Genomic DNA, 27,526 nt, shown 5'->3' with positions numbered 1-27,526 from the left:
CTTGCACAAATGAAAATACTCAATTATGCTAGAGTAAATTTACATTATATAGGGATGTCTTTCAAAAAAGTTTCTCTCCTGTTTTGAATTTCGGCTGTCTTGAATTGTCACTTGCAAAATACTTAGGGATGTTTCTTTTTTAAATCAGCTTTAATTATTTTTTAATGACGAGAAGTTGATAGCTTATAAATTCCATTTATCTCTTTAAAATGCTCATTCATATTGTTTTAAAGGAAGCAAAGGGTATAACTGCCGCATAGCTTAAGAAAAACTTTACAGAATGCTTATGGGAAAATACCAGATTATTTAGGCATTTTAATGTGCTTAGGTATTCAGTTATTACAGGGAGAATGAGGGTTTCTTCCTTAATTATAGAGTTTAATTCTGAGGTATAGTTGCCATGAGTTTGGAAAGAACCATGCTTCAATAGCACGCAGAATTCAGATTCACAAAGTTTTCCTCTCGTATCTCTTCAAGTGTTTTACACTGTGCTTCAGAGTTTGCATGCTTTCTTGCCTAAAAGCAAAAGAAAACATTTATGTAGAGAAAGTACAGTCTCTAGACATTGCCAAAAGATTGTCTATTGAAGATAGTATCGCATTCCCACTGTAAGCACATCTTCATGTTTGAACACCAACACAATCTTTCCTTCTTCCTCAAAATAGAAATACACTGTGACCGAATATTTATTCAGCATCTAACAACATCCAACCTTTGAATGTATTTTGACTAGGTAATTTTTTTCTCCTTTGTTAATAAAAATAGATTTAATTTTTTAAATGTCATTTTTTTTGCATCTCATCAAATATACTGTCATACACTATAAAAATGATGTTGGGTCATATGTATCACATGTCTGTAATTCAGAAATGCAAACCTTTGGACACTGACTCAACATCTGGAGATATTTTTTCTGGTTCTTTTGGCTGGTGTTCTCCTACAGCTCTCTACGAGCAGTCTTGTGAAGCCCACAAGCACCGAGGGAACCCATCCGGGCTTTACTATATTGATGCAGATGGAAGTGGCCCCCTGGGACCATTTCTTGTGTACTGCAATATGACAGGTATGTTGATAATCGTTAGATGCATAGATCAGAATAGACCAAGGAGAAATTTACCTAGTTGGCAGCATTATTAAAACATGCAGTTTGATAGTGTGTACTTGCTAAGTAGAAGCATTAAATATGTATTTATTAATTTTGTTGTCAACAAAATTTTCTTGTATTTCTTCTTTGCCTGGATTGGATTATAGGCAAGATTCAATGCTCTGCCAAGGCATCTCTCTAGCTCCTACACTCCTCATAATACATCTGTTCATGTGCATCATGATAAAATACAAACCTCTGATTCGGTGATTTACATGCTTTCTGTATTTAGAAAAAACAGAGGTGTTTAAAAATGCTAAGAAATAACATAGATATGTTAATGTTCTATGTGCATCTTAAATAATTTAGTGATTTTTATGTCATATAATTTTTTCATAACCAAAGAAACTTGATTATTTCTCGTGCTTTAGATATTAGAAATGAACACTGCTTGGGCTGCGCATGGTGGCTCACGCCTGTAATCTCAGCACTTTGGGAGGCCAAGGCGGACAGATCACGAGATCGAGAGATCGAGACCATCCTGGCCAACGTGGTGAAACCCCATCTCTACTAAAAATACAAAAATTAGCTGGGCGTGGTGGCGCCCGCACCTGTAGTCCCAGCTACTTGGGAGGCTGAGGCAGGAGAATCCCTTGAACCAGAGAGGCAGAGGTTGCAGTGAGCCAAGATTGCGCCATTGCACTCCAGCCTGGCGACAGAGCAAGACTGCATCTCAAAAAAAAAAAAAAAAAGGAAAAAAAGAAATGAACACAGCTTGATTATAGAAGATTGCACTAGAACGCCTTTTAAATAGTTACATTTTTACAGAAATTTGTTGTCACCTAGCTCTTCCAACTCTCTGCAAAGTGGAAATCTGGAATAAACTGTTCTCATTTATTGTGCTGACAAAAGGTTTCAAAAGTTTCATAAATTTGGACAATAACCAAATGGGTCAGCAAGCATCAAGGAAAAAGAAAAAAATAACTGAAATTACATGGGCATTTAAAGTGCCTTAGCAAAGATTGTCAAAAAATAGTAAAACTTTACAGGGGATGTTCAGAAGATTCAGAGCCACCTGCACAGCAATGTGCTGAAGATAAAGAAACACAAGCGTTCTGCCATAAGATACCAATTACCTCCAAAATCCCGACTCAAACAATGAAAGCAAAGTGAGAAATCCCATAAAAATGGTCTTGGTGGATATCAAAAGACTCAACCAAAGTCACAACCAGGAAGGACCTTGGTTGTCATCATTTTAAGATGAGGAAACCAAGGCTCAGAAAAGTTGGTTAGGGAAGTATCTACTGACAAAATCTAGCTAATGATAGGGGAATCACTAAACTCTGGTCTCTTTTCTGCCCTAGAAAATGTCACCTTCTCTTTAGATGCCGCATTGCTCTATAGCCAGTAATAAATTCTCTAGTTGTACAAATCAAGCAATAATGATTATAAAATGTGCAATTTCAAACTACTCTAATAGCTTGAAATGTATATATCGTAATAACCTTCAAAAAGCAGTTGCTTCAGAGCTTGGAAGTCAGCACTCTATCTTAAGAACAAGTAAAAAGCCAGGCAAACTGAAAAATTAACCAATTTTTTTAGATCCAGCAGAGAAGTGAGGTCACAGAACAAACCACTGCCCCTCAAAATTGGAGAGACAGGCAGGCTTATATACAGAATGACAGTTTTCTTCCACAAGCACTAACCTTTGGGGAAACCGTTGTCAAGGTAGGAAAACCTAAACTTAATTGACGAATTGTTGGATGTTCGATGTGGACACATCTGAGAGTTAAGAACTCCAGGAAGACCCAGACAGAGAAGGGTCCCCACACTTCTGTGAGTTTGACACCTAGCTTGACCGGGTTCTCACAGTGAATGTTGGAGAAAAATCTCCTCATGCTTCCAGAAAGGGAAGGTGAAAAGGAACCGTCTTGAAGTACACCAGAGCTTTCTGTTCTTCTTAACAAGGTCTTTCCTCAAGGGCAAATATTTCACCTAAGCTACTGGTGTTTTGTTTTGTTTTGTTTTGTTTTTTGTTTTCAGAGCCTAACCTGCCTGGAGGAAGGAAATTACCCACCTCTGGCCATCCTGTCCCATGTAAGGGTGGTGATGGGAGGGAGGGCTGAGAAGCTCTTGTGAAGGTCACAGCCCAGAGGCACAGGCTCCCTAAAGGACTCAGACCTAATCACAGGACTACAGAACCTTTCCCCTTCCCACACATGTTACTTATAGTACTGCAGGCCTCTTTACAGCAGTTACAGTTACTTTTACCTGGTACATCACATCTGGTTATCAAGAAAAAATTTCAGCTGGACCTATAATCCTATTACTTTGAGAAGCTGAGGAGGGAAGATAGCCTTAGACCAGTTTTGAGACCAGTCTGGGCAACACAGTGAGACCCCCACCTCTACAACAACAACAACAACAAAAACAACAACAAAACAGCATTGTGACAACAACAACAACAACAACAACAACAACAACAAAACAGCATGGTGACATGTATCTGTAGTCCCAGCTACTTGGGAGGCTGAGGTGGGAGGATCGCTTGAGCCTGGGAGTTGGAGACTGCAGTGAGCCATGGTCACACCACTGCACTCTAGCCTGGGCAACAGAGAAAGACCTTGTCTCCAAAAAAAGAAAAAGAAAAAAGTTCAAGGCAAAAAACACACTTTGAAGAGACAGAGCAAGCATTAAAAACAGACGGTGGCTCACGCCTGTAATCCCAGCACTGTGGGAGGCTGAGGCAGGCGGATCACGAGGTCAGGAGATCGAGACCATTCTGGCTAACACTGTGAAACCCTGTCTCTACTAAAAATACAAAAAAAATTAGCCGGGCGTAGTGGCGGGTGCCTGTAGTCCCAGCTACTCGGGAGGCTGAGAAGGAAGAATGGCATGAATCCGGGAGGCGGAGCTTGCAGTGAGCTGAGATCGTGCCACTGAACTCCCCCCTGGGTGACAGAGCGAGATTTTGTCTCAAAAAAACCAAAAAACAAAACTAACAAACAAAAACCAGAGTCAGATATGGCAGGGACATTGGAATTATCAGACCAGGACTTTAAACAACTATAATTAATATGGAAAAAGCTGTAATGGGTAAAGTAGATAGCATGCAAGACCAGATGAACAATGTAAGCAGCAAGATGGAAATTCTAAGAAGCAAAAAGGAGTGCTAGAGATCAAAAACAGCATAACAGAAATGAAGAATGCCTTTGATGGGCTTATTAGTAGACCAGGCACAGCTTTGGAAAGAATCCCTAAGCTTAGAGATACCTCAATAGAAACTTGCAAAACTGAAAAGCAAAGAGAAAAAAAGACTGAACCCCACCCCCTGCAAAAAGAAAACCCAGAACATAATATCTGAGTACAGTGGCACAACTACAAAAGGTGTAACATACGTGTAAAGAGAATTCTAGGAGAAGAAAGAAAGAAAGGAACAGAAGCATATTTGAAGAAATAATGACTGAGAATTCCCACAAATTAGTATCAGACACCAAACCACAAATCCAGGAAGTTTAGAGAACACCAAAGAAGGAGAAATGCCCCCAAAACTCTACCAGGCATATATTTTCAAACTATAGAATTCAAAGATAAAAGTAAACTCCTTTTTTTGAGATGGAGTTTTACTCTCGTTGCCCAGGCTGGAGTGCAATGGTACGATCTTGGCTCACCACAACTCCGCCTACTGGGTTCAGGTGATTCTCCTGCCTCAGCCTCCTGAGTAGCTGGGATTATGGGCATGTGACACCATGCCTGGCTAATTTTTGTATTTTTAGTACAGACAGGGTTTCTCCATGTTGGTCAGGCTGGTCTTCAACTCCCGAACTCAGGTGATCCACCCACCTCAGCCTCCCAAAGTGCTGGGATTACAGGCATGAGCCACCATGCCCAGGCCAGGTAAAAGTAAATTCTTAAAAATAATCAGAGGAAGAAAGCACCTTACCTACATAGGAGATAAGTATTACAGCATCTTCTCTTCAGAAATCATGCCAGCAAGAATGCAGTGAGATACTTAAAGTGTGAAAGAGAGAAAACAAAACAAAACAAAACCTTCTCCTTGAAAAGTGAAGAAATAAAGATTTTCTCAGACAAATGAAAGGGTCAGTTCTCTAAAAGAGATAACCTTAATATGTATGCTCCTGACAACAGAACACAGTGGATCTTATTTTCTTTTTTCTTCTGGGACATATAGGAATGGGTATACCAGATGCTGGGGATTTCATATGATATACTGAGTAAATTTTAAGTGCAGACAATCCCCGTTTACAATGGTTCTACTTACAATATTGCGACTTCCCTATGTGAAACCATATGCATCCCTATTTCAAGTACCCATACAACTATTATTTTATTATTATTATTATTATTATTATTATTATTATTATTATTTTGAGACAGAGGCTTGCTCTGTCACCCAGGCTGGAGTACAGTGGCACGATCTCGGCTCACTGCAACCTCCACCTCCCGGGTTCAAGTGATTCTTCTGCCTCGGCCTCCCCGGTAGCTGGGACTACAGGCATGTGCCACCACGCCCGGCTAATTTTTTGTATTTTTAGTAGAGATAGGGTTTTACCATGTTAGCCAGGATGGTCTCGATCTCCTGACCTCGTAATCCGCCTGCCTCGGCCTCCCAAAGTGCTGGGATTACAGGCGTGAGCCACCACGCCTGGCCACAACCATTATTATTATTTTTTTTTTTTACTCTCAGTACAGTAGTTAATAAATGACATGAGATATTCAACACTTTATTGTAAAATAGGCATTGTGTTAGATGATTTTGCCCAACTGTGGGCTGATTTAAGTGTTCTGAGCACATTTAAGTTAGGCTGGGTTGAGCTAGGTTCAGTAGGTCACATGTATTAAAATGCATTTTTAATTTATAATAAGTTCATCCGGATGCAACTTCATCATAAATTGAGGAACATCTGTACTGTTAATTCCAATCAAAATCATGAAGTTAAATTAGCTTAATTTTCAAAGTTGGATATTTATTTGAGCAACAGGAGTGGAACAGGTATCAACGTGTTACAGTTACCCTCCTTCTGGGCTGGTGAGACGGCCTCCAGTGTGTTCTGACTCAGCCACACCTCTGAACCCCTTTCCACATTTAGCCACTGTTATAATTAATCTACTCAGGTCCAATTCACTTGAGCCCAGGAGGTCGAGGCTGCAGTAAACTATGAAGGTGCCACTGCACTCCAAGCTGGGCAACAGAGGGAGACCCTATCTCTAATAAAAAAGAAAAAGAAAAATATAAGGGTTATATTAGATGCTCTTTAAGATCCTTTCCAGTTCCAATATGCTTATAATCAATTGAAATAAATTACGAGCAATTAGGGAAACCACAATGGTCTGTGTCCTTCTTTGGGTCTTTTACTACTGATATTATAAGGAGAAGTGAGTCAAGTGGAATTTTATAAACACAAATGCATATCCTATAATGTCCCTGGTTACTATTCTACTCTTCAGAAAAACAAGTTTTACAGATGTATTCTCAACAGTTCCCTTCTCAGTACTGAGGGCATTTCTGTGATTACATCTTAACCATGGGTGACTGCAAATCTATCATACTGCCCACCAGCCTATGTGAACTACTCCGGACCATCATTTCTCTCCCATTGTACAACAAATCATGAACACATGGCCAAAAATGGCATGTGGTTGATCATCTTCAATGCCCAACTTAGTGTTCCATAGGTTTTTCTATATTTGATTCAGTTGATAGGAAAACTCTGAAGGTGAGAGTAGGTGATGTGCACAGAGTAACACCAGGTTGTAAAAATTCTAAAATGAGGCCAGGCGTGGTGGCTCACACCTGTAATCCCAGCACTTTGGGAGGCCAAGGCGGGTGGATCACCTGAGGTTGGGAGTTCAAGACCAGCCTGGCCAACATGGTGAAACCCCCGTCTCTACTAAAAAAATACAAAAATTAGCCAGGTGTGGTGGTGTTTGCCTGTAGTCCCAGCTACTTGTGAGGCTGAGACAGGAGAACTGCTTGAACCCAGGAGGCAGAGGCTGCAGTGAGCTGAGATAGCGCCACTGCACTCCAGCCTGGGCAACAGAGCGAGACTCTTATCTCAAAAATAAATAAATTAAATAAAAAATCTAAAATAAAAAAATAGAGCAATATTAAAGGAAGAACCCATGGAATTGAAATTACCATAGGCACACTTAGAGCCTCCTTTGGTGAGTACAGTGAGTGGAGTGATAATTTAATTTAAAATTGCATTCGTTATTTAAATTTGCAGATTTTTTTTCTGTACTTGTGGCTCATTTGTGGATATCACACCTTTGCTCTCCATGGGTTCTGTGACTAAAGAGATATTTCAGTAGCATGGCTGGTTTTCTTTTCCTTCTTTCCTCTGATCTCTGTTGTTAGGCATGTGTAAGTAACAGTAAGGCTGTGAAATTTGTCTTACGCACAAGCCATTTAGCCATTTAGCAGCCAAGCCATGAAAAATCCTGAGATGTGAAGGGCTGGGAGGGTGATTTCTCAAGGTAAAATGTATCACATTGTTTTGTTTCGTAGTTCTTAAAAAATCCCCATACAAATGTTTCTTCGTTTCTCCAGTTCGGAAAATTTTTATGTAAAATGTCCATTATTCTAAATATATCTTATTAGAGGTTAAAGGACCAGACAGCACCAGCATAGTAGAATTAAAGTGACTTCAAGTCTGGTGGGAGGTCCATTGTTGGGAACACTAAAGAACTCAAGATGCACTTCTTCCCTTTTGAGATTGTGGAGTCATTTTGTTTTTATTTCATCAAAACAATATAAGTAATCAAGTGACAGAGATACATCAGAAATGATGTCAGCAGGCAGTCAGATGCTCAGGGTCACCGCCTGGAAAGTGCTGTTAGAAGCTCAAGGCCTCTGATTCCTCTGGGCTTGGTCACTGATGGAGAAGCTGACATAATTAAACCACTTTATTTTAATAGAGCTGCTTCCTATCATACCTGTGAGTATGTGCGTCACAACGTCCCAATATGTATCTTTTATAAATTTATTCGATAATGAAAGAAATAGAGGCACATACAGATGAGGAAAATGCAGATGAGTTTAAAAAGATAAAGGTCCAGGTAGTAACAGTTTGGCCCCATGCTTGTGTTGATATAAAAAAATGGTTTTAACAACTAAAAAGTCATTGCTTACATGATACATTTTTAGGCGTGACGTCGCAAAAGTTTGGTCATCAGTTCTTCCAATATGCTTTCTCTTAGAGGCTGAGTTCTGGCTCAGTACATTGTTACACAGGTCCAACTCCTCAAATCGCGGCAAACATGCAGTAATGTAAATTTCAATTAAACGTTAATTCACATAAAAGACAGGTCTGCTTTGCCTCTTGCTGCTGGCCTCTGCCGCCCAGTGATGCCTCTCCTTTGCCCGTTTCTGCTCAGCAGACTCCGCGTGGACGGTGGTGCGGCACGGTGGCCCCGACGCGGTGACCCTCCGAGGTGCCCCCAGTGGGCACCCGCGCTCGGCTGTGTCCTTCGCGTACGCAGCGGGCGCGGGGCAGCTGCGGGCCGCGGTGAACCTGGCGGAGCGCTGAGGGCAGCGGCTGGCTCTGCTCTGCGGGACAGCGCGGCGCCCGGACTCACAAGGTAAGCGCCACTGCTGGAGGCTACAGGGGCTCACGAGGCCGGGGCGCGGCCCTCGGGCTGCGAGATGCCTTTGAGGGAGAAAAGGCCAGGGTCCCTCCCGTGGCTCTTAGTTCAAAGCCCTGACCGCTCTCTCCTTCTCTTCGCGCTCTTGGTTGGACCAAAGAGCATTCAAGAGCGCCTTCCTGACCATTGAGAGACGTTCAGCGCGTTCATATGCAGGACTAGTGACTTGTCCTTTCTTAATCAAGGGAAATTTTGCTAATAACTTATGCCTTAGCTTTCCGTTCACACTGAGGAGATAATGGCTGTAGGGCAGGCTGGGTCTAACAGTTCTTCATGAAGACCAGTGGGAACCGGTAACCTCCTTACTCTTCTCAAAGTCTTCCTCTAAATCTACTTGGAACCTTTGTTTCCTCCCTTTAGATTAACTGAATATGCCCTTCCTCAGCCCCGCCACTTTCACTGTGGTCTAGGATGAAATAATGACTAGGGTTATTAAAACCTTTTGTCAGTGGGTGTCTCATTTTTTTGAAATTATATCTTGAGAAATGTATACCTTAATCTTCATATATGGAAGTAATGTTTTGGAAACTCTGCCTGCATCAAAACCGTCTTCTCCTAAGTTAAAGACCAACTTCCCCCTCCTTTCCAGAATCCCCACAGTCCCCTGCAGGACTCACCGCTGCTCTCCAACAGTTTCCATATAGTTTCTTGAAAGCACTTTATTGCTAATTATAGTTAAATACTGAAATTTGCCTTTCATTTTTTTAGTTTTAGCAATCCCAAATAGTATATAGGTGGGAGGATCACTGGAGCCCAGGAAGTCCAGGCTGCAGTGAGCTGTGATTGCTTCACTGCCTCCAGCTTGGGCAGCAGAGCAACACCTTGTCTTAAAAAAACAAAAACAGTGTATGTCGGTAGCATAATAAAGCCACTTAAATTAAATTTCACTCTTAAATTTTCAATACAAAATCTTTAAGTTGGAAAGTGGTGTATGACTGTCATCTGAAGGTGGTTTGCGCTGATCCACTAACCCATACCTGCATTGCCTTCCCTAATCCGTCTGGCCAATCAGCCCCTGGAATATGCCAGACCATTTCCTCTGCCTGGATTGGCCTCTCTGTCACCCAGGCTGGAGTGCAGTGGCACGATCTTTGCTCACTGCAACCCCCTCCCCTCCCGGATTCAAGCGATTCTCCTGCCTCAGCCTCCCGAATAGCTGAGAATACAGGCAGGTGCCGCCACACCCGGCTAATTTTTGTATTTTTAGTAGAGACGGGGTTTCACCGTGTTGGTCAGGCTGTTCTTGAACTCCTGACCTCAGGTGATCCGCCCGCCTCAGCCTCCCAAAGTGTTGGGATTACAGGCGTGAGCCACCGCGCCCGGCCCTCACACTCTTAAATCTTACCCACTGTGCTAGACCTGTGCAGTCGGCATCTGGGTCCCTTCCCAGGGTGATCCCTCTCTCCCCTGGATGCCTGCCAGCCAATTTGGTCTAGTAGAAAGAGCAAAGGTCTGGTTGCATTCAAAGTTTGAAGTTCAAGTGCTAAGTCTGTCACTTAGCAGTTGTGGAAATTTAGGCCATTCCTTAATCTTTTTCAGACTTTGTTTCCTCTTTGATGAAATGGACCCTGTAGTACTGATCTCATGGGGTTTCTTTTATAAATGAGATATCTTACATAAGTTCAGTAAGTAAGAAACTCTCCTTCCCAGTTCTCCAGTTTTTTAAAGTTGGCATTACAAAACTTAATTATTTGTTAGTTCATTGCTGTTGAATGAAGTGTAGCCTTGGCTTTGGAATTGTTTAAAAAAAAAATCCCCAGGTGATCTTTTGGAAACTACTGGGCTAGGGGCTAAAATAACACAAGAAATGGAATATTCTACTCCCATCAGTGAGAATTTCCCTATTTCTCCTCTTTTGAAAAGATAATTTAAAAAAAATTTTGAGATAATTGTAGATTTACATACACTTGTGAGAAGTAACAGAGAGAACCCGAGTAGCCGTTAAGCAGTTCCCCCACCCCAAGGTGACATCTTGTAGAAGTATAGTGCAATATCACAGCCGGAATCTTGACATCCATACAGTCAAGATACACAGTATTTCCATCAGCACAAGAATTCCTCCTATTGGCCGGGCACGGTGGCTCATGCCTGTAATCCCAACACTTCGGGAGGCCGAGGCGGGCGGATCACGAGGTCAGGAAATCAGACCATCCTGGCTAACACGATGAAACCCCGTCTCTACTAAAAATACAAAAAAGTAGCCAGGTGTGGTGGCGGGTGCCTATAGTCTACTTGGGAGGCTGAGGCAGGAGAATGGCGTGAACCCGGGAGGTGGAGCTTGCAGTGAGCCGAGATGGCGCCAATGCACTCCAGCCTGGGCGACAGAGCAAGACTCCGTTCCGTCTCAAAAAAAAAAAAAAAAAAGAATTCCTCCTATTGCTCTATTGCTCGTTAATAACCACTAGTATGTTCTCCATTTCTATGGGTTTTTTTAAACTTCAAGAATGTTATGTAAATGAAATATATAGTATGTACTCTTTGTGGTTGAGTTTTTTTCACTCTGTGTAATCCTCTCTAGATTCATTTGCATAATTGTGTATATCAGTAATTTGTTCCTTTTCATTGCTGATTAGCAATCGGTGGCATGGATATACCAGAGTTTATTCACTCATTGAAGGGCATCTGGGTTGTTTGTTTACAGTTTGGGGCAATTATGAATAAAGCTTTTATGAACATTGTGTACAGGTTTTGTGTGAACATTAGTTTTCATTTCTCTGGAATTAATGCCCCAAAGTGCAATAGGTGGGTCATATATGGTAATTGCATACTTAGTTTTATAAAAAGCTGCCAAATTGTTTTCTAGAATGGTTGTACCATTCCCACCAACAGTGTATGATTTCATTTCCTCCACATGCTCATCAGCATTTGGTGTTGTGACTATTTTTTATTTTAGCTATTCTGATAACTGTGTAGTAATATCTTTATTGTGGTTTTAATTTGTGTCTCCCTGATGTCTAATAATATTGAGCATGTTTTATATGCTTATTTGCCATCTGTATATCGTTTTCAGTGAGATAGATGTCTGTGAATGTGTTTTTGTTGTTGTTCATTTTCTAATTGGATTGTTTGGATTTGTTTTGTTACTGTTGAATTTTCAGTTCTTTATATATTCTAGATACTAGCCTTTTGTTGGATATGTGATTTGCGAATATTTTTTCCCACTCTGTTGCTTGCCTATTCATTGACTCTTAACTGGAATTTTTTAGAGCAAAAGTTTTAATTTTGATGAGATTCAGTTTATCATATTTTCCTTTTATGGGTTGTACACATCGTGTCAATTCTAAAAATTCTTTACCTAACCCTAAATTCCAATTCCAAAGATTTTTGAATTTTTTTCCTAAAAGTTGTATAGTTTTACCTTTTACTTTTAATTCCATGCCCTATTTTGGGACACATTTTATATAAGATGTGAGAGTTGATTCTCTCTCACTCTCTCTGACTATGAATGTTCAGTTGCTCCAGAACCATTTGTTGAAAAGGCTATCCTTCCTGCATTGAATTGCATTTTAAATAGTGTTAAAAATTGGTTGAACTTACTTGTGTGGTGGGTCTGTTTCTGCATTCTTTATCTGTTTCATTAATTTATATGCCTCCACCAATATCACACTGTCTTGAACGTGGTAGCTGTATAGCAGGGTTGAGTTATTCCTCCTGCTTTATTCTTCTTTTTCAAGATTGTTTAAGTCTGTAGCTTGCCTCATTCTGTATAAATTTTGTAATAAATTTGTTTATGTCTACAAACATCTTGCTAGAATTTTTATGGGAATGACATTAAACATAATAGCTCAATGAAGGGAAAATTGGTGTTTTACTGTTTTGAGTCTTCCAATCCATGAACATGAGATATCTTTCCATTTATTTGGATCTTTGATTTCTTGCCTCAGCATTTTGTAATTCTTAGCATCCAGAGATTATATGTTTTATAAGTATGCTTAGGCATTTAGTTAGTTTCTTGATTGATTGTAAGTGCTGTTGTGCTTTAAATTTTTGTTTACATATGTTTCTTGTTAGAATATGAAATATGATTGTTTCATACTAATCTTATAAGCTCTTTTTTGAACTTAATTTTTTTTTAGATTCCTTGGGATTTTCTATATGGAAAATCATGTCATCTGCAAGTAGAGTCAGCTTTATTTCTTCCTCGTCAATCTGTAGGGAGTTAATTTATTTTTCTTGCTTTATTGCAGTAGCTAGACTTTCAATACTAGGTTGAACTAGAGTGGTGAGGACAGACATCCTTGCCTTGTTTCCTGTCTTAGGGGAAAAGCATTCATTCTTGTTTCCTATGTTATGTGGAGGTAGTTCCCTTTTATTCCTGGTTGGCTGACAGTTTTTATTTTGAAAGGACATTGGATTTTTGTCAAATGTCTTTTCTGTGTCAATTGGTATTAAAATATTATATTTCTTCTTTTGTCTGTTGATATGTTGAATCAGCTTTGCATAACTAGAGCAACTCCCATTTCGCCATAATGTATAATTTAAAAAATACATTTCTAATGTGTTTGATTTATTAATATTTTATTGAATATTTTTGCATTCAAATTCATAAGAGATATTGATATGTAGTTTTCTTTTTTCATATTGTCTTTATCTGGTTTCAGTATCAGGACAATACTGCCTACATAAAATGAATTTGGTAGCATTCTCTAGTCTCCTGTTTTCTGGAAGAGATTATGTAAAATTGACTTTAATTTTTATTTAAACATTTGGTAGAATTCTCCAGTAAGGCCCGGCAGGGTGGCTCATGCCTGTGATCCCAGCACTTTGGGAGGCTGAGGCAGATGGATCACTTGAGGTCAGGAGTTCGAGACCTGCCTGGCCAACATGGTGAAACCCCGTCTCCACTAAAAATACAAAAATTAGTTGGGTGTGGTGGCACACACCTATAATCCCAGCTACTCAGGAGGCTGAGGCAGGAGAATCGCTTGAACTTGGGAGGCAGAGGTTGCAGTGAGCCAAGATCACACCACTGCACTCCAGCCTGGGCAACAGAACGAGATTTCATCTCAAAAATAAAAACCAAAAACAAAACAAAACAAAAAGAATTCTCCAGTAAAACCATCTGGGCCAAGAGATTTTTTTTTCAGTAATTTTAAATTATGAATTCAATTTTCTTAATAATTACAATTACTTAAATTACCTATTTCATGTTAGGTGAATTGTGGTAGTTTGTACTTTTTGAGAAATTTGTCCATTAATCTGAATTGTCAAGTTGATTTGTGTAGAATTATTTATAGTATTTTCTTATTATTCGTTTGATGTCTCCAGCATCTGTAGTGATATCCACTTAAATTTCTCATATTTATAGTTTGTCTCATCTTTTTTTGTCTCTGTCAGTCTTTATAGAAGTTTTTCAATCTTACTGTTTTTTAGAACTAGATTTTCATTTCATGATTTTCTCTATTATTTTTGTTTCAAATTCTATTGAAATCTGCTCTTCTCTTTGTTATCTCCTTCCTTCAGCTTGTATGAGTTAATTTTGTTTTCTAGTTTCTAGAGGTAAGAACTTACATTATTGGCTTTAGGGCTTTCTTCTTTCCTAATGTAGGCATTTAATGCTACATTTTCCCTATCAACACAGTTTTACCTACATTTCACATATTTTGATATGTTGTATTCTCATTTTCATTTAGTTTTTCATGTAGTTTCATTTTCATTTAAGTATTTTAATAAATTTCTTTGAAGCATATTCTTTGACCTGTAGCTTATTTAGAAGTGTATTTTTAAAAATTTCTAAGTGTTTAGAGATTTTCTTTTTCTCTTTCTGGTATTGATTTCCAGTTTGATTCCATTATGCTCAGAGAATATACTTTGTGTGATTTTAGTTCTTTTAAATACGTTGAGGTTTGTTTGGCTCCCAGGGATATGGTCTGTCTTGTAAATTTTTCATGGGCATTTGAAAAAAAAATGTATATTCTGCTATTCTTAAGTGGAGTATTCTGTATGTATTTCAATGAGATCCTGTTGGTTGATTATGTTGTTCAGATCTTGTATATCCTTGCTGACTTCTTGTCCAGTAGTTCTGTCAGTTGCTAAGAGAGACATTTTGAAATCTGTACTATAATTGTGGATCTGTTTATTTTTCCATTCTGCTCCATCAGTTTTCTTATATTAATAGGCTTTATATTTTTTAGCAATTTTAAGTTTACATAGAAATTGAGCAGAAAGTACTGGAAGCATATGATTTTTATTCTTTAGCTTGTTGATCTGATGGACTATATTAATTAATTTTCAAATGTTAAAGGCATATCTAGAGTAAATCCCACTTGGTTGTGGTGTTTATTTTTAAAAATTGTTTGGTTCAATTTGCTAATATTTTTTAAGGATTGCTTCATCCATGTTCAAGGGAGATATTTGTTTGCAGTTTACTTTTTTGTAAGGTTTTGCTGGTTTGGGTATTAGGGTAATGCTGGCCCATGGAATGAGTTAAGAAATAGTCACTCTGCTTCTATTTTCTGCAACAGATTGTGGAAAATTGGTATCATTTATTTCTCCAATGTTGATAGAACTCACCAGTGAATCATCTGGGCTTGGTACTTTCTGTTTGGGAAGGTTATTAATTACTGCCTTAGTTAAAAAATTTTGTTTCTCTCGAGACTTTCTCTTTCACCATGTTTTATTATTTAGAAATGTGTTTTTAAATTTTTTGGTATTTGAGGATATTTCAGCTCTCTTTCTGCTATTATTAGTTTAATTCCATTCTGATTCAAGAACATGCCTTTTGTGATTTCTATTCTTTTAAATTTGGTAAAGTGTTCTGTGGCCTAGAATGTGGTTTAACTTAATGAATTGTGCATTTGTATTTGAGAAGAATGTGTATTCTGCAGTGTCTAGATAAAATATTCTATAACGCTAATTGAATTCTAAAGTATTCAGTTAGATCCAGTTGATTGATGGTGCTGTTCAGTTCAAATCTATCCTTAATGATTTTCTTCCTGCTGAGTCTGTCACTTACTCATAGAGGGGTGTTGAAGTCTCCAGTGGTAATAATGGATGTGTCTCTCTGTCCTTGCAGTTCTATCAGTTTCCCCCTAATATATTTTGACTCTTCTGTTGCTAGGTATATACATATTAAGCATTATTATATCTTCTTGTTATATTGACCCCTTTATTATTGTGTAATGCCCTTTTTCATCTCGGATAATTTACCTTGCTCTGCAGTTGGCTTTGTCTAAAATTAATTTAGATACTCTGTCTTTCTTTTTGGTTAGTGTTACCATGGTATATCTTTCTCTAGCGCTTCAAATCTACCTGCTATTTTATATTTAAAGAGGATTTCAGTAGACAACATGTAGGTGGATCATGGGTTTTGTTGTTGTTGTTCACTCTGACAGTCTCAGTCTTTTATTTTATTATTATCATACCTTAATTTCTAGGGTACATGTGCACAACATGCAGGTTTGTTACATATGTATCCATATGTTAATTGTGTGCTGCACCCATTAACTCATCATTTACATTAGCTATATCTCCTAATGCTATTCCTCCCCTCTCCCCACACCCCATGACAGGCCCCGGTGTGTGATGTTCCCCTTCCTGTGTCCAAGTGTTCTCATTGTTCAATTCCCACCTATGAGTGCGAACATGCAGTGTTTGGTTTTTTGTCCTTGCGATAGTTTGCTGAGAATGATGGTTTCCAGCTTCATCCATGGCCCTACAAAGGACATGAACTCATCCTTTTTCATGGCTGCATAGTATTCCATGGTATATATGTACCACATTTTCTTAATCCAGTCTGTCATTGATGGACATTTGGGTTGGTTCCAAGTCTTTGCTATTGTGAATACTGCCTCAGTAAACATATGTGTGCATGTGTCTTTATAGCAGCATGATTTATAATCCTTTGGGTATATACCCAGTAATGGGATGGCTGGGTCAAATGGTATTTCTAGTTCTAGATCCATGAGGAATCGCAACACTGTCTTCCACAATGGTTGAACTAGTTTACAGTCCCACCAACAGTCTAAAAGTGTTCCTATTTCTCCACATCCTCTCCTGCACCTGTTGTTTCCTGACTTTTTAATGATCGTCATTCTAACTGGTGTGAGATGGTATCTCATTGTGGTTTTGATTTGCATTTCTCTGATGGCCAGTGATGATGAGCATTTTTTCATGTGTCTGTTGGCTGCATAAATGTCTTCTTTTGAGAAGTGTCTGTTCATATACTTCGCCCACTTTTTGATGAGGTTGATTTTTTCTTGTAAATTTGTTTAAGTTCTGTGTAGATTCTGGATATTAGCCCTTTGTTAGATGGGTAGATTGCAAAAATTTTCTCCCATTCTATAGGTTGCCTGTTCACTCTGATTTTAGTTTCTTTTGCTGTGCAGAAGCTCTTTAGTTTAATTAGATCCCATTTGTCAATTTTGGCTTTTGTTGCCATTGCTTTCTTAATTGGTATATTTAGACTGTTTACATTTAAAGTGATTATTGATACTTGGATTAATATTTGCCATATTGTAACTCTTTTTTATTTGTTGCCCTTGTTTCTTCTTTTTTTCCTGAATTCCCCTCTCACATTTTTTGTTTTAATTGAGCATTTTATATGATTCCATATCCTCACTTCTCCTAGAATATTAATTACATTTCTTGGTAATTGTTTTAGTGGTAGCCTTTGAGTATGAAATGTACACTATAACAATCTACTTTCAAATAACACTATTCCACTTCATTAATGGTGCTGGTACTTTATAACACAGCATTTCCAATCCTTCTGTCTTATTTTGTATTACATTATTATCATTCATTTTACTTATTCATAAGCCATAATCACCCAATACATTGTTAGTATTATTTAGAGCTGTTACCTATTACATCAATTAAGAAGAAGACACTAGATTTTATTTTAATTTTTTTCTTCTCTAATGCTCCTACCTTTCTTTATGTATTTCTGTGTTTTTGACCTATATTGTTTTTCTTTTCTCTGAGGAACTTCTATTAACATGGCTTGCAAGGTAGGTCTACTGGAGAAAGATTTCCTCAATTCTGTTTATCTAAGTCTTTATTTCTACTTTACTATTTAGGATAATTTTACTGGATATAGAATTTTATATTAGTGTGTGTTTTCTCTCAACAGTTTAAATATTTCACTTCACTTTCTTCTTGCTTGCATGGTTTCTTAAGGGAAATCTGGCATAATTCTCATTCTTGCTCCTATGTAGGTAAGGTGTTTTATTTTACTGTGGTTTATTTCGGGATTTTATTTTTAAAAGATTTTATTTTAATTTTAAGAAAGTCTTCAATTTTTTGCAATTTGAACATGAGATGCCTAGGTGTGGATTTTTTTGTATTTAACCTGCTTGGTGTTTGCTGAGATTCCTGAACCTATGGTTTCATGTCTGTCATTAATTTTGAAACATTCTCAACTGTCATTATTTTAAATATTTCTTCTGGTTCTCACTCTCTTCCTTCTACTTCTGGTATTCCGATTATGGGTTACATAGGTTACACCGTTTGAAATTATCCAACAGGGCCGGGCGCGGTGACTCACTTGCCTGTAATCCCAGCACTTTGGGAGGCCGAGGCGGGCGGATCACAAGTTCAGGAGATCCAGACCATCCTGGCTACCACGGGGAAACCACGCCTCTACTAAAAATACAAAAAATTAGCTGGGCGTGGTGGCAGGCGCCTGTAGTCCCAGCTACTCGGGAGGCTGAGGCAGGAGAATGGCGTGAACCCAGGAGGCGGAGCTTGCAGTGAGCCGAGATTGCACCACTGCACTCCAGCCTGGGCGACAGAGAGAGACTCCATCTCAAAAAAAAAAAAAAAAAAATTATTGTCCAACAGTTTGGATATTATGTTTCATTTTTCATTCTTTTTCTCTTTGTTTTTAATGGAAAATTTTCATTGACATATCTTCAAACTCACTGATTCTTTCCTCAGCACTTCCCAGTCTTCCCAGACTTTGATGAGGCCATCAAAGACATTCTACAATTTTTACTTTTAATCTCTGTATTTCCTTCTGATTTTGAGATTTCATATCTTTGTTTATAGTACCTATCTCTCCTTGCATGTTGCCCACTTTTTCAACATAGAGCCTTTAGCATATTGATTATTATTTCAAATTCCTTATCTGATATTTCCAAATCTGTCACATCTGCATGTTTGCTTGATTCGTCTCATAAGACTGTATTGTTTGGCTTTAGCATACCTTGCAATTTTCTGTTGAAAGCCAGACATGTTGTATTGGCAAAGGAACTGAGGTAAGGAAGCCTTTAATGTAAGGTTTTATGTTTATCTAGTTAGTAGTTAGGCTGAATTTGCTCTTTGCATAACTGTGGTGTCAGAGGCCAAAATTTCCTCTAAGGTTATTTTATTTTTCTTTCTTCCGTTTTGAGTTTTCCCAGAGACTCTGTCTTAAATAGGGTCTAAAATTCACAGCTCTTTCATTTTTAATCTCCTGTTACTATACAGGTAATGTACTGATCTGATTGATGATAAGGTGCGGGGAGAGGAGAAGCATCCTATACTCTTTTTTTTTTAATGTTTTTATTTTATTTTAATTTTTTTGAGAGAGTCTCGCTCTGTAGCCCAGGCTGGAGTGCAGTGGCGCCATCTCAGCTCACTGCAAGCTCCGTCTCCCGGGTTCACGCCATCCTCCCGCCTCAGCCTCCTGAGTAGCTGGGACTACAGGCGCCCGCCACCACGCCCGGCTAATTTTTTTCTATTTTTAGTAGATACGGGGTTTCACCATGTTAGCCAGGATGGTCTGGATCTCCTGACCTCGTGATCCGCCCGCCTCAGCCTCCCAAAATGCTGGGATTACAGGCTTGAGCCACCTCACCCGGCCCAATTTTTTGTATTTTTAGTAGAGATGGGGTTTCACCATGTTAGCCAGGATGGTCTTGATCTCCTGACCTCATGATCTGCCCGCCTCGGCCTCCCAAAGTGCTGAGATTACAGGCGTGAGCCACCGCGCCCGGCCAGAAGCATCCTGTACTCTTAGGATTAGGTCAGTCTTTTAGAGAACCTGTCTTCCTGGACTGTGACCTTCAGAGTGCTTCTCAGCTTCCTTCCCCTTCCCTTGGGTAAGAAAAGAAGGGTAGAGGGGGCTGGTTCTGGATATTTCCATTCCCCTAGGTGGTTTAGGCTCTAGTAAACTAGCTTTTCGGGGGATTAGAATGTTGTTAAGGAGAACATAATGTTCTGCGCTTATTTCAAAAATGTTTACTCCTTCCCTCCCCCTGCTGGAGACATAAGAGCATTTTTTTCCTATCTTTATTCTGAGAACTTGATGGGGCTCTTCCTGGAGATAAAACTCTTGAAGGTGTGTTGACCCTCTAAGGCGTATCCCCCACTCTAGGAGTTTTCAATCTCTGTAGCTTGTCCTTGCTCAGTATCCATCAATTAGTCAGTTACATTTTAAGTGCTTTTACCAGACTCCACCATCTGCTTTGGCTCCATTAGCCGTGATGCTGTTTTCAGTTGTCTCTGCAGCTTTAGGAGTAATGTTTGCCCTATGACTTTAACTGTGTAAGAAGAACTGTTTATTTTTAGTTAGTGCAGCTTTTTTCTTGTTGTGAGAATGGGAGCGATGACTTCCAGACTCTTAACGTCATATCAGATTGGAAACCAGAAGTCTCAATTTTTGCCTCATTTTTTTAAGGGTGTATTGTTTCTTGCATATGCATTTATGTCTTCCTGGTGATTTTTTTAAAAATCATTATGTAATGTCCCTGTTCTAGTATTTTTGTTCTGAAGTCTATTTTATGAGATAGCCATTCTGCTTTCTTTCAAATTTAATTTTTGCAGAGTGTATTTTTTCCATCCTTTTACTTTTAACCTGCCTATGTTTATTTTGAAGTGAGTTTCTTATAAATTTCTCGTTGTGTTATTTTTTTTTCAGTTGATTCTGCCAACATCTAACTTTTGTTATATTTTAACCATTTACATTTAAGGTAATTTTTATAATTTTCTTACTCGTTGCTTGGTATTATAGTGTACATATGTGACTTACCACAGTCAACTTAAATATCTTCACTCTCATAATGAAATATGGAATCCTTATGTCTATTTGGGTCCTTTATCTTCCCCACTTCTAAATATCATTGTCTTGAGTATCATATGGTATTACAGTTTTTGTGTCAATTATCATATGTCATTTCAAAAATTGATAAGGATAGTCTATTATATTTATCCATATTTCTTCTCTTTTCATTTTTTTCCTGATGTTCCAAGAATCCTTTGTTATAATTTCCTTTCTTTTTGAAAAACCTCCTTTAGCCATTCTTTAGGGAATGTCTGCTAGCGACAAATTATTTTAGTTTTCTTTTGTGTTAAAAAGGTTTTTTGTTGTTGTTATTGTTTTGGAGATGGAGTCTCACTCTGTCGCCCAGGTTGGAGTGCAGTGGCACAATCTCGGCTCACTGCAGGCTCCGCCTCCCGGGTTCACGCCATTCTCCTGCCTCAGCCTCCTGAGTAGCTGGGACTACAGGCTCCCGCCGCTACGCTCGTCTATTTTTTGTATTTTTAGTAGAGACGGGGTTTCACCGTGTTAGCCAGGATGGTCTCGATCTGACCTCGTGATCCGCCCACCTCGGCCTCCGAAAGTCCTGGGATTACAGGCGTGAGCCACCGCACCCGGCCTAAAAAGATTTTATTTCCATTTTATTCTTGAAGGATAGTTTCTCTGGGTATATAATTTATAGTTGACAATTTTTTTTCTATCAGCCCTGAAAAAAAATATGCCATTCCTTCTGGTTCTGTAATTTCAGATGAGTAATCTACTATCATTCAAATTAGGGTTCTTTTACAGGCAGGTAATGTGTTATTCTCTCAGGCTGCTTTCAAGATTTGTTTTGTTTTGTTTCCAAAAAGTTCAATTATGATGGATCTTGGTGTCGATATTTTTGGGTTTATCCTTTTTTGGACTTAAACTTAACTTCCTAAATCTGTGGGTTTGTATCTTTCACCACATGTGGGAAGTTTACAGCCAGTATTTTTTCAGTACTCTTTCAGCACACTTTGTTCTCTCTTTTTGAGATTCGGATGATATTGTCTGATAGGACCCTATGGCTCAGTTCTTTTTATATTCAGTCTGTTCTCTCTTTTTTGGTCAGGTTAGATAAAGCCTATTGATGGGCCCTCAAGTTCAGTGATTCTGTCCTGTGTTTTTTCACTCTATTCTTGAGCCCATTCAGAGTTTTTTAAAACGTTATGTTATTGTATCTTCCAGTCCTGGGGTCCTAAGCTTCCTCTTTCTACCTTTCAGAATTCTCTTCGGTTGTCTTCTGTATTATTTCCAGAATCTATCATTATACTTGGTGGAAATAGCAGGGATAGACAAGTCTACAAGATCTTTTATCAGTCTAGAAGTTCACCCACTTACATCTTTTTGTTACTGTTTCTAAAAAAATACATTTTTACTACTTTATGGGGAATATGGGAGATTTAGATGTAAATTTATACTTGTACATTAGGATATAATGAGTGTTTTGCTCTTTAATCTGCGACAGTTTAATGGTGAAGTCGGTAACTTTTAAAGTGGCATTCCGAGAAGAGTGTATTAATTTTTAAAAATATCTTTTACGTTGTAGTAACAAGCTTTTAGCACATTTTTAAAAGATTCCTGGTACTAATCCCTCTTTAAATTTTCCCAGATTGCCTTTTTTGTTGTTGTTTTTTTTGTTTTTTGGCAGAGGGGCAGGTGATGGATAGTGGTGGTGGTAATGAATGCAGAGATCTTATCTATGAATGAGTTATAATTGAGTTGTAATAAGCAGTAAGGTAGAAGCTAAGTTCCAGATCTCGATTCATATTCCAATGGTAACAAGCTATTGAAATTTGAAAAACAGCACCACATGATCAAGCATGTTTAAAAAACTGGTTGAGTTAATCCAATTTCATTTTCCTCATGGCCTAATCTGTGATGACTGCAACTTGTGGCCTCTGACCCCTTTCCTTTTTTAAGATAGGTGGCCTGACACCTGCTTTTTAAATTATCCTAACTTTACTGTGATGTGCTGTCAGTCCATCACCCCAATCTTCACTCCCAACCCCTGGCAGCATCCCTTGTCCTAATATGCAGTTCTATAGATCTGAGTTAGTGTCTGACTCTATCATTTAATCATTGTCAGTGCTGAGAAGGAGGCGCACTCCTCAGAGCTGTAGTTGACCCAGGGCACTTTGTTTCTTTGCATGAGAAATCTCTAACCTCAGAGATGAGAAAAGCCTATCAATGTCATTCCTTAACCTCCAAATAAAGAGTCAGGACATCCAATGCAATAAAAACAAATACCTCCAAAAATTAGTAAGTACTGACAGAGAGTACGTGTATCTTTCCAAATGTGTAATATACAGGTAGTTAGCAAAAAGATGGGATGAGATAAATCAATGTCTTTGTATAATATTAAACTTTCTCAATGAACATTTCATAATTTCAAATAGATTTTATCTTTAGTGTGCAAATTACTCTGGTATTTATTTTAATGGTGAATTTTTTTGAATGTTATTTCTATAGAAAGTATGTATCACATGCAACTGACTGATTTCTAATAGAAGAAAAATAGATGGAATCATTTAAGCCTAGATATTGAAATATTGGGGGAAAAACATTGGTTAGGCTTAAAGAAACATTTCAGAGGTAAAATACAAGTGTTTAAGTATAGTTTCATTTTCTCTCTCTCTGCCTCTCACACATACACTTTACACCTGGGAGTAAAGGGAGCTATATGGGGAGGGTGATAGTGAGGGACAAAGTAGATGTCATCTTTCTTATACTTGTCTTTCAGATGGAACCCCACTGAGCTGGTGGGTTGGAAGAACCAATGAAACACACACTTCCTGGGGAGGTTCTCTGCCTGATGCTCAAAAGTGTACTTGTGGATTAGAGGGGAACTGCATTGATTCTCAGTATTACTGCAACTGTGATGCTGGCCGGAATGAATGGTGATTTCCACATGATTTCCCTGCACAAAAATGTGGTTTTTATTCTTTAATTATGCATAGTTAATTAAATGTCAGACAAGCTGGTACAATAAGGTAACTAGATTAAAGTATGTTCAAGCAAGCTGAAATACAAGTTTTGATGAAATATGATCAGTTAATCTAAGGATTAAATTTTATGACCAAAGATTTACTAATTCATTGTGAATACTATATAATGTGTTTTTTATTTTTCATAAAAGAGAAGCAGCTGTTAAGTTTTCCACTCACTGGAAATCAAATATCATTCTCTGCGAAGTTTAGTTAATTAATTAACGTAGTATTCATGTGGCAATTCAAAAAGCAAATTCCTCCAAATCTTTGTCTTAAATTGATTTGGGATATAATGCTGCATATTCTGTCTTTCTTTTAGAAATTAACATTAACACAAGAAACTCTGAGAGGTCCTGCATAAAAGGACTGTGTTTATTTTGTAGAAGCAACAATTTCCCACACTCATTGAAATCTTCAGTGCAATAGCAAAGCTTCAAGCACCAACTGTTCTGTAGACCATACTTTGAAACAACTAACATAGAATTTCCAGAATTTGAAAATTATTTTGTAAGCTTTCTTTTGAGCAGAAACAATTTTCTCATGTAGATTGCAATGCCTCTTTTTCAGAAGTTCTTTTTGAGGTTATTCTTGAAATGCATATTGGTTTTCTTTTTTTTTATTTGTAATATGTAAATGTTTTCAACCTTTGGGTTCATGTCAGCAACTTAAAAAGCATTGTCATAAAACAACTAGATCGTGTAGAGTACGTGCTTTAAAAAAAAACTTAGGCCAGGCACTGTGGCTCATGCCTGTAATCACAGCACTTTGGGAGGCCAAGGCAGGTGGATCACCTGAGGTCAGAAGGTTGAGACCAGCCTGGCCAATGTGGCGAAACCCCGTCTCCACTGAAAATACAAAAATTAGCCGGGTGTGGCTGTGTGTGCCTGTAGTCCCAGCTGCTCAGGAGGGTGAGACAGTAGAATTGCTTAACCCAGGAGGTAGAGGTTGCAGTGAGCCGAGATCGCGCCACTGCACTCCAGCCTGGGCGACAGAGCAAGACTCCACCTCAAAATAATAATAATAATAATTAATAAATAAAAAACGTAATGGTCAATCCAGGTGTCAGTATAATTGATTTGGACATAAAATAGCTAACCTAAGCAGTAATTTGATTCCTAAAAATTGAGTTGTTTGGCCTGCATGGTAGTCCACTTATTTATTTGGCATAAAAAGTCTACTTTGCATCACTTTAAAAAATATTGTGAAGTTGGGAAAACTCACTTGAATCTACTGGAGGTTTCTATAGAATACATACTATACATTTACATGGATATTATTTTTAATCTTCCTCAAGTTCAAAATTACAAAATGATCATACAGATTTATGAGACACTCTTTTTGAATATTTTGATATGCAATCTTAATACAACTTTCTCTTACTTAAAAATGAATGCAGTTTTAGTGCAGTGAGTAACAGGAACAGATCTGATCCATAGTTTCAAATCTGGCCACCAGTAAGTTTCAGGTCTGAAGTAATTTGCCGTCAGTTAAAATGGTTTTGTACCATATTTTGTATGATGTACATTTTAAAGTGTCTGGTATGATAATGTGATGATGTGTGTTAGCTTTGGGCTCTAATGAGACAAACAGCGACCTTCAAATCTTTTGACGGACATCTTTAACAATCCTGGAGGTTTTCATTTCCTCCATTCCACAAGGGGCTCCTGCCTGTGAGGGCTCCAGCCCTCCAGCTCCTGGCTGTTCAGAAGACCTCCAGCTCATTGGTCTGTCCCCACCCCCATTCTCTACAGGTCAGAAAGGAGAGCATTGGCAGGTTATTACAAGAAAGCCAGAATGGCATATATGCTAGTGGCTTTATAACTTAGTTCGAAGAATGTTAACCGTTTTGTTTTGTTTTTGTTTTGAGACAGAGTCTCTCTCTGTCGCCCAGGCTGGAATGCAGTGGTGCGATCTCAGCTCACTGCAACCTGCGCCTCCCGGATTCAAGTGATTCTCCTGCCTCAGCCTCCCGAGTAACTGAGATTACAGCCGAGTGCCACACCTGGCTAATTTTTGTATTTTTAGTAGAGACTGGGTTTCACTATTGGCCAGGCTGGTCAACTGTTTTTTTGTTACAGAACCTTCTGTTAGTATTAAGTGCATACTTTATTGTAGACTTCACGTATGCTTAGGGCAGTAACCAGAGGAACGTATCACTTGGAGCCACCTGTATTGAGTGACCCTCCCATGAACTGAGTTTGAGGAGGGGAATGGAAGGAACTGAGGTGGGTGCAGGTCCTCTGATACCCTTAGCCATGTCACTTCAGCACCGTCAAGGACTGCACTGGTGTGACAGAAGCCATGGGCTTTCATTTGGAAAAAAATTTAGGAGAGAAGCAGGTTTTAAAAATTAACTCCCCTCCTACATTCAGAAGGGAGCATTGTGGAGTCATTTGCTTTTTAACCTTATTTTATTTACTTTGCAGCTTCCAGTAGATAGGTCTATCCAACAGTAAGACCACAAGCATTCTGAAATCCTATCCCAACTCTTGTAGATTGTTTTGTAAATGTGGGGGTGTGTATGGGGGTGGGGGGGTGGGAAATTACAATTTCTATTTTAATTTTTCAAATAAAATTGATTTTTCAGTTTATAAAAATGGAATTTACCAGTCTCATGAAATGAAAAGATTTATAATTGTAATAATTTAGATTAAGGTATAGACATAAGAACATAAATCTTAGTCTTTATTACTTATTTTCTATTACTGAGGTGTGCCTAGTAAGGTTTTCCTGGTGGAAAGTTTATAATAAAAATAGTATTTGGGAATGAAAGTAAAGTGAAAGCTATTTTAAGTCTCTTCAGGCATATGTCCGTTAATGGGGCAGGCAGTATTGTTAATATAAACCATCGCCATTTTTCCATAAGTTGTCCCTGTAATCAGCAACTCGTCTAAGCATATTACTTAAAAAAAAGTTTATGATCAGACAGTTCCTCAGGCACAGTAAGAATATTCTATCAAATAACTATAACATGCCAAAGATTTATTATAAAAACAAATATATTTAAAAGGCACTATAATGATTTAAAATATTGAACTATGCTGCAAGTCAATATATGTGTATAAATGTATAGTGGACTATGTTCAAATAGACCAATATATTCTCTAAAATATACATATAACATATAATTCAGCTGTCTGCAAAAATCCACAAGTTGTTTTGCTAATATAATGATGACACATGTAACTGTAATATTATTTTACTTAAGAATTTAAATAGGACTTTTGTGTGATTACCTTAGAGTCTTTAAAAGTAACCACAAATAAAAAGCATAAAATAAGATGGTTTAAATGCATACAAGTGTACAAATAATCATAATAAATACGAGTAAACTCTGTTCATTTAAAAACCAGATATTAGATTTTATCATATTGGATTTTTAAAGAAGCTATAGCTTGTTTACAAAAGATAAAATATAAGCACTCGGTGAAGTTGAAACTAAAAGAATAGAAAATATTTACCACGTAAATACAAATCAAAAGAAAGCAGATATAGCTGTATTATGTCAGACAAAGATGAAAAGCATTGTTAGGGATAAACTTGAACTCTATCTAATGCTGAGATAAACTCACTAGAAAGATCTCACTACACTTGTGTGTATCATCAGATTGTTTAAAATATATAAAGAAGTGGCAGGGCGCCGTGGCTCACGCCTGTAATCCCAGCACTTTGGGAGGCCGAGGCGGGCAGATCACAAGGTCAGAAGATCGAGACCATCCTGGCTAACACAGGTGCAACCCCGTCTCTACTAAAAATACAAAAAATATTAGCCAGGCCTGGTGGTGGGCGCCTGTAGTCCCAGCT

The 27,526-nt window shown here is 38.3% G+C and overlaps 1 pseudogene; it reads left to right on the top strand.

The window, feature by feature from the left end:
• The window catches only part of LOC101930090 (contactin associated protein family member 3B pseudogene), a 50,205-nt pseudogene that overhangs the window by 8,435 nt on the left and 14,244 nt on the right, over nt 1–27,526 (top strand).

The sequence above is a fragment of the Homo sapiens genome, chromosome 9, assembly GCF_000001405.40.
Source record: "Homo sapiens chromosome 9, GRCh38.p14 Primary Assembly".
NCBI classification, from domain to species: domain Eukaryota; kingdom Metazoa; phylum Chordata; class Mammalia; order Primates; family Hominidae; genus Homo; species Homo sapiens.
The sequence above is the reverse complement of the archived record's forward strand: the minus strand, read 5'-3'. Positions and strand labels throughout refer to the sequence as shown.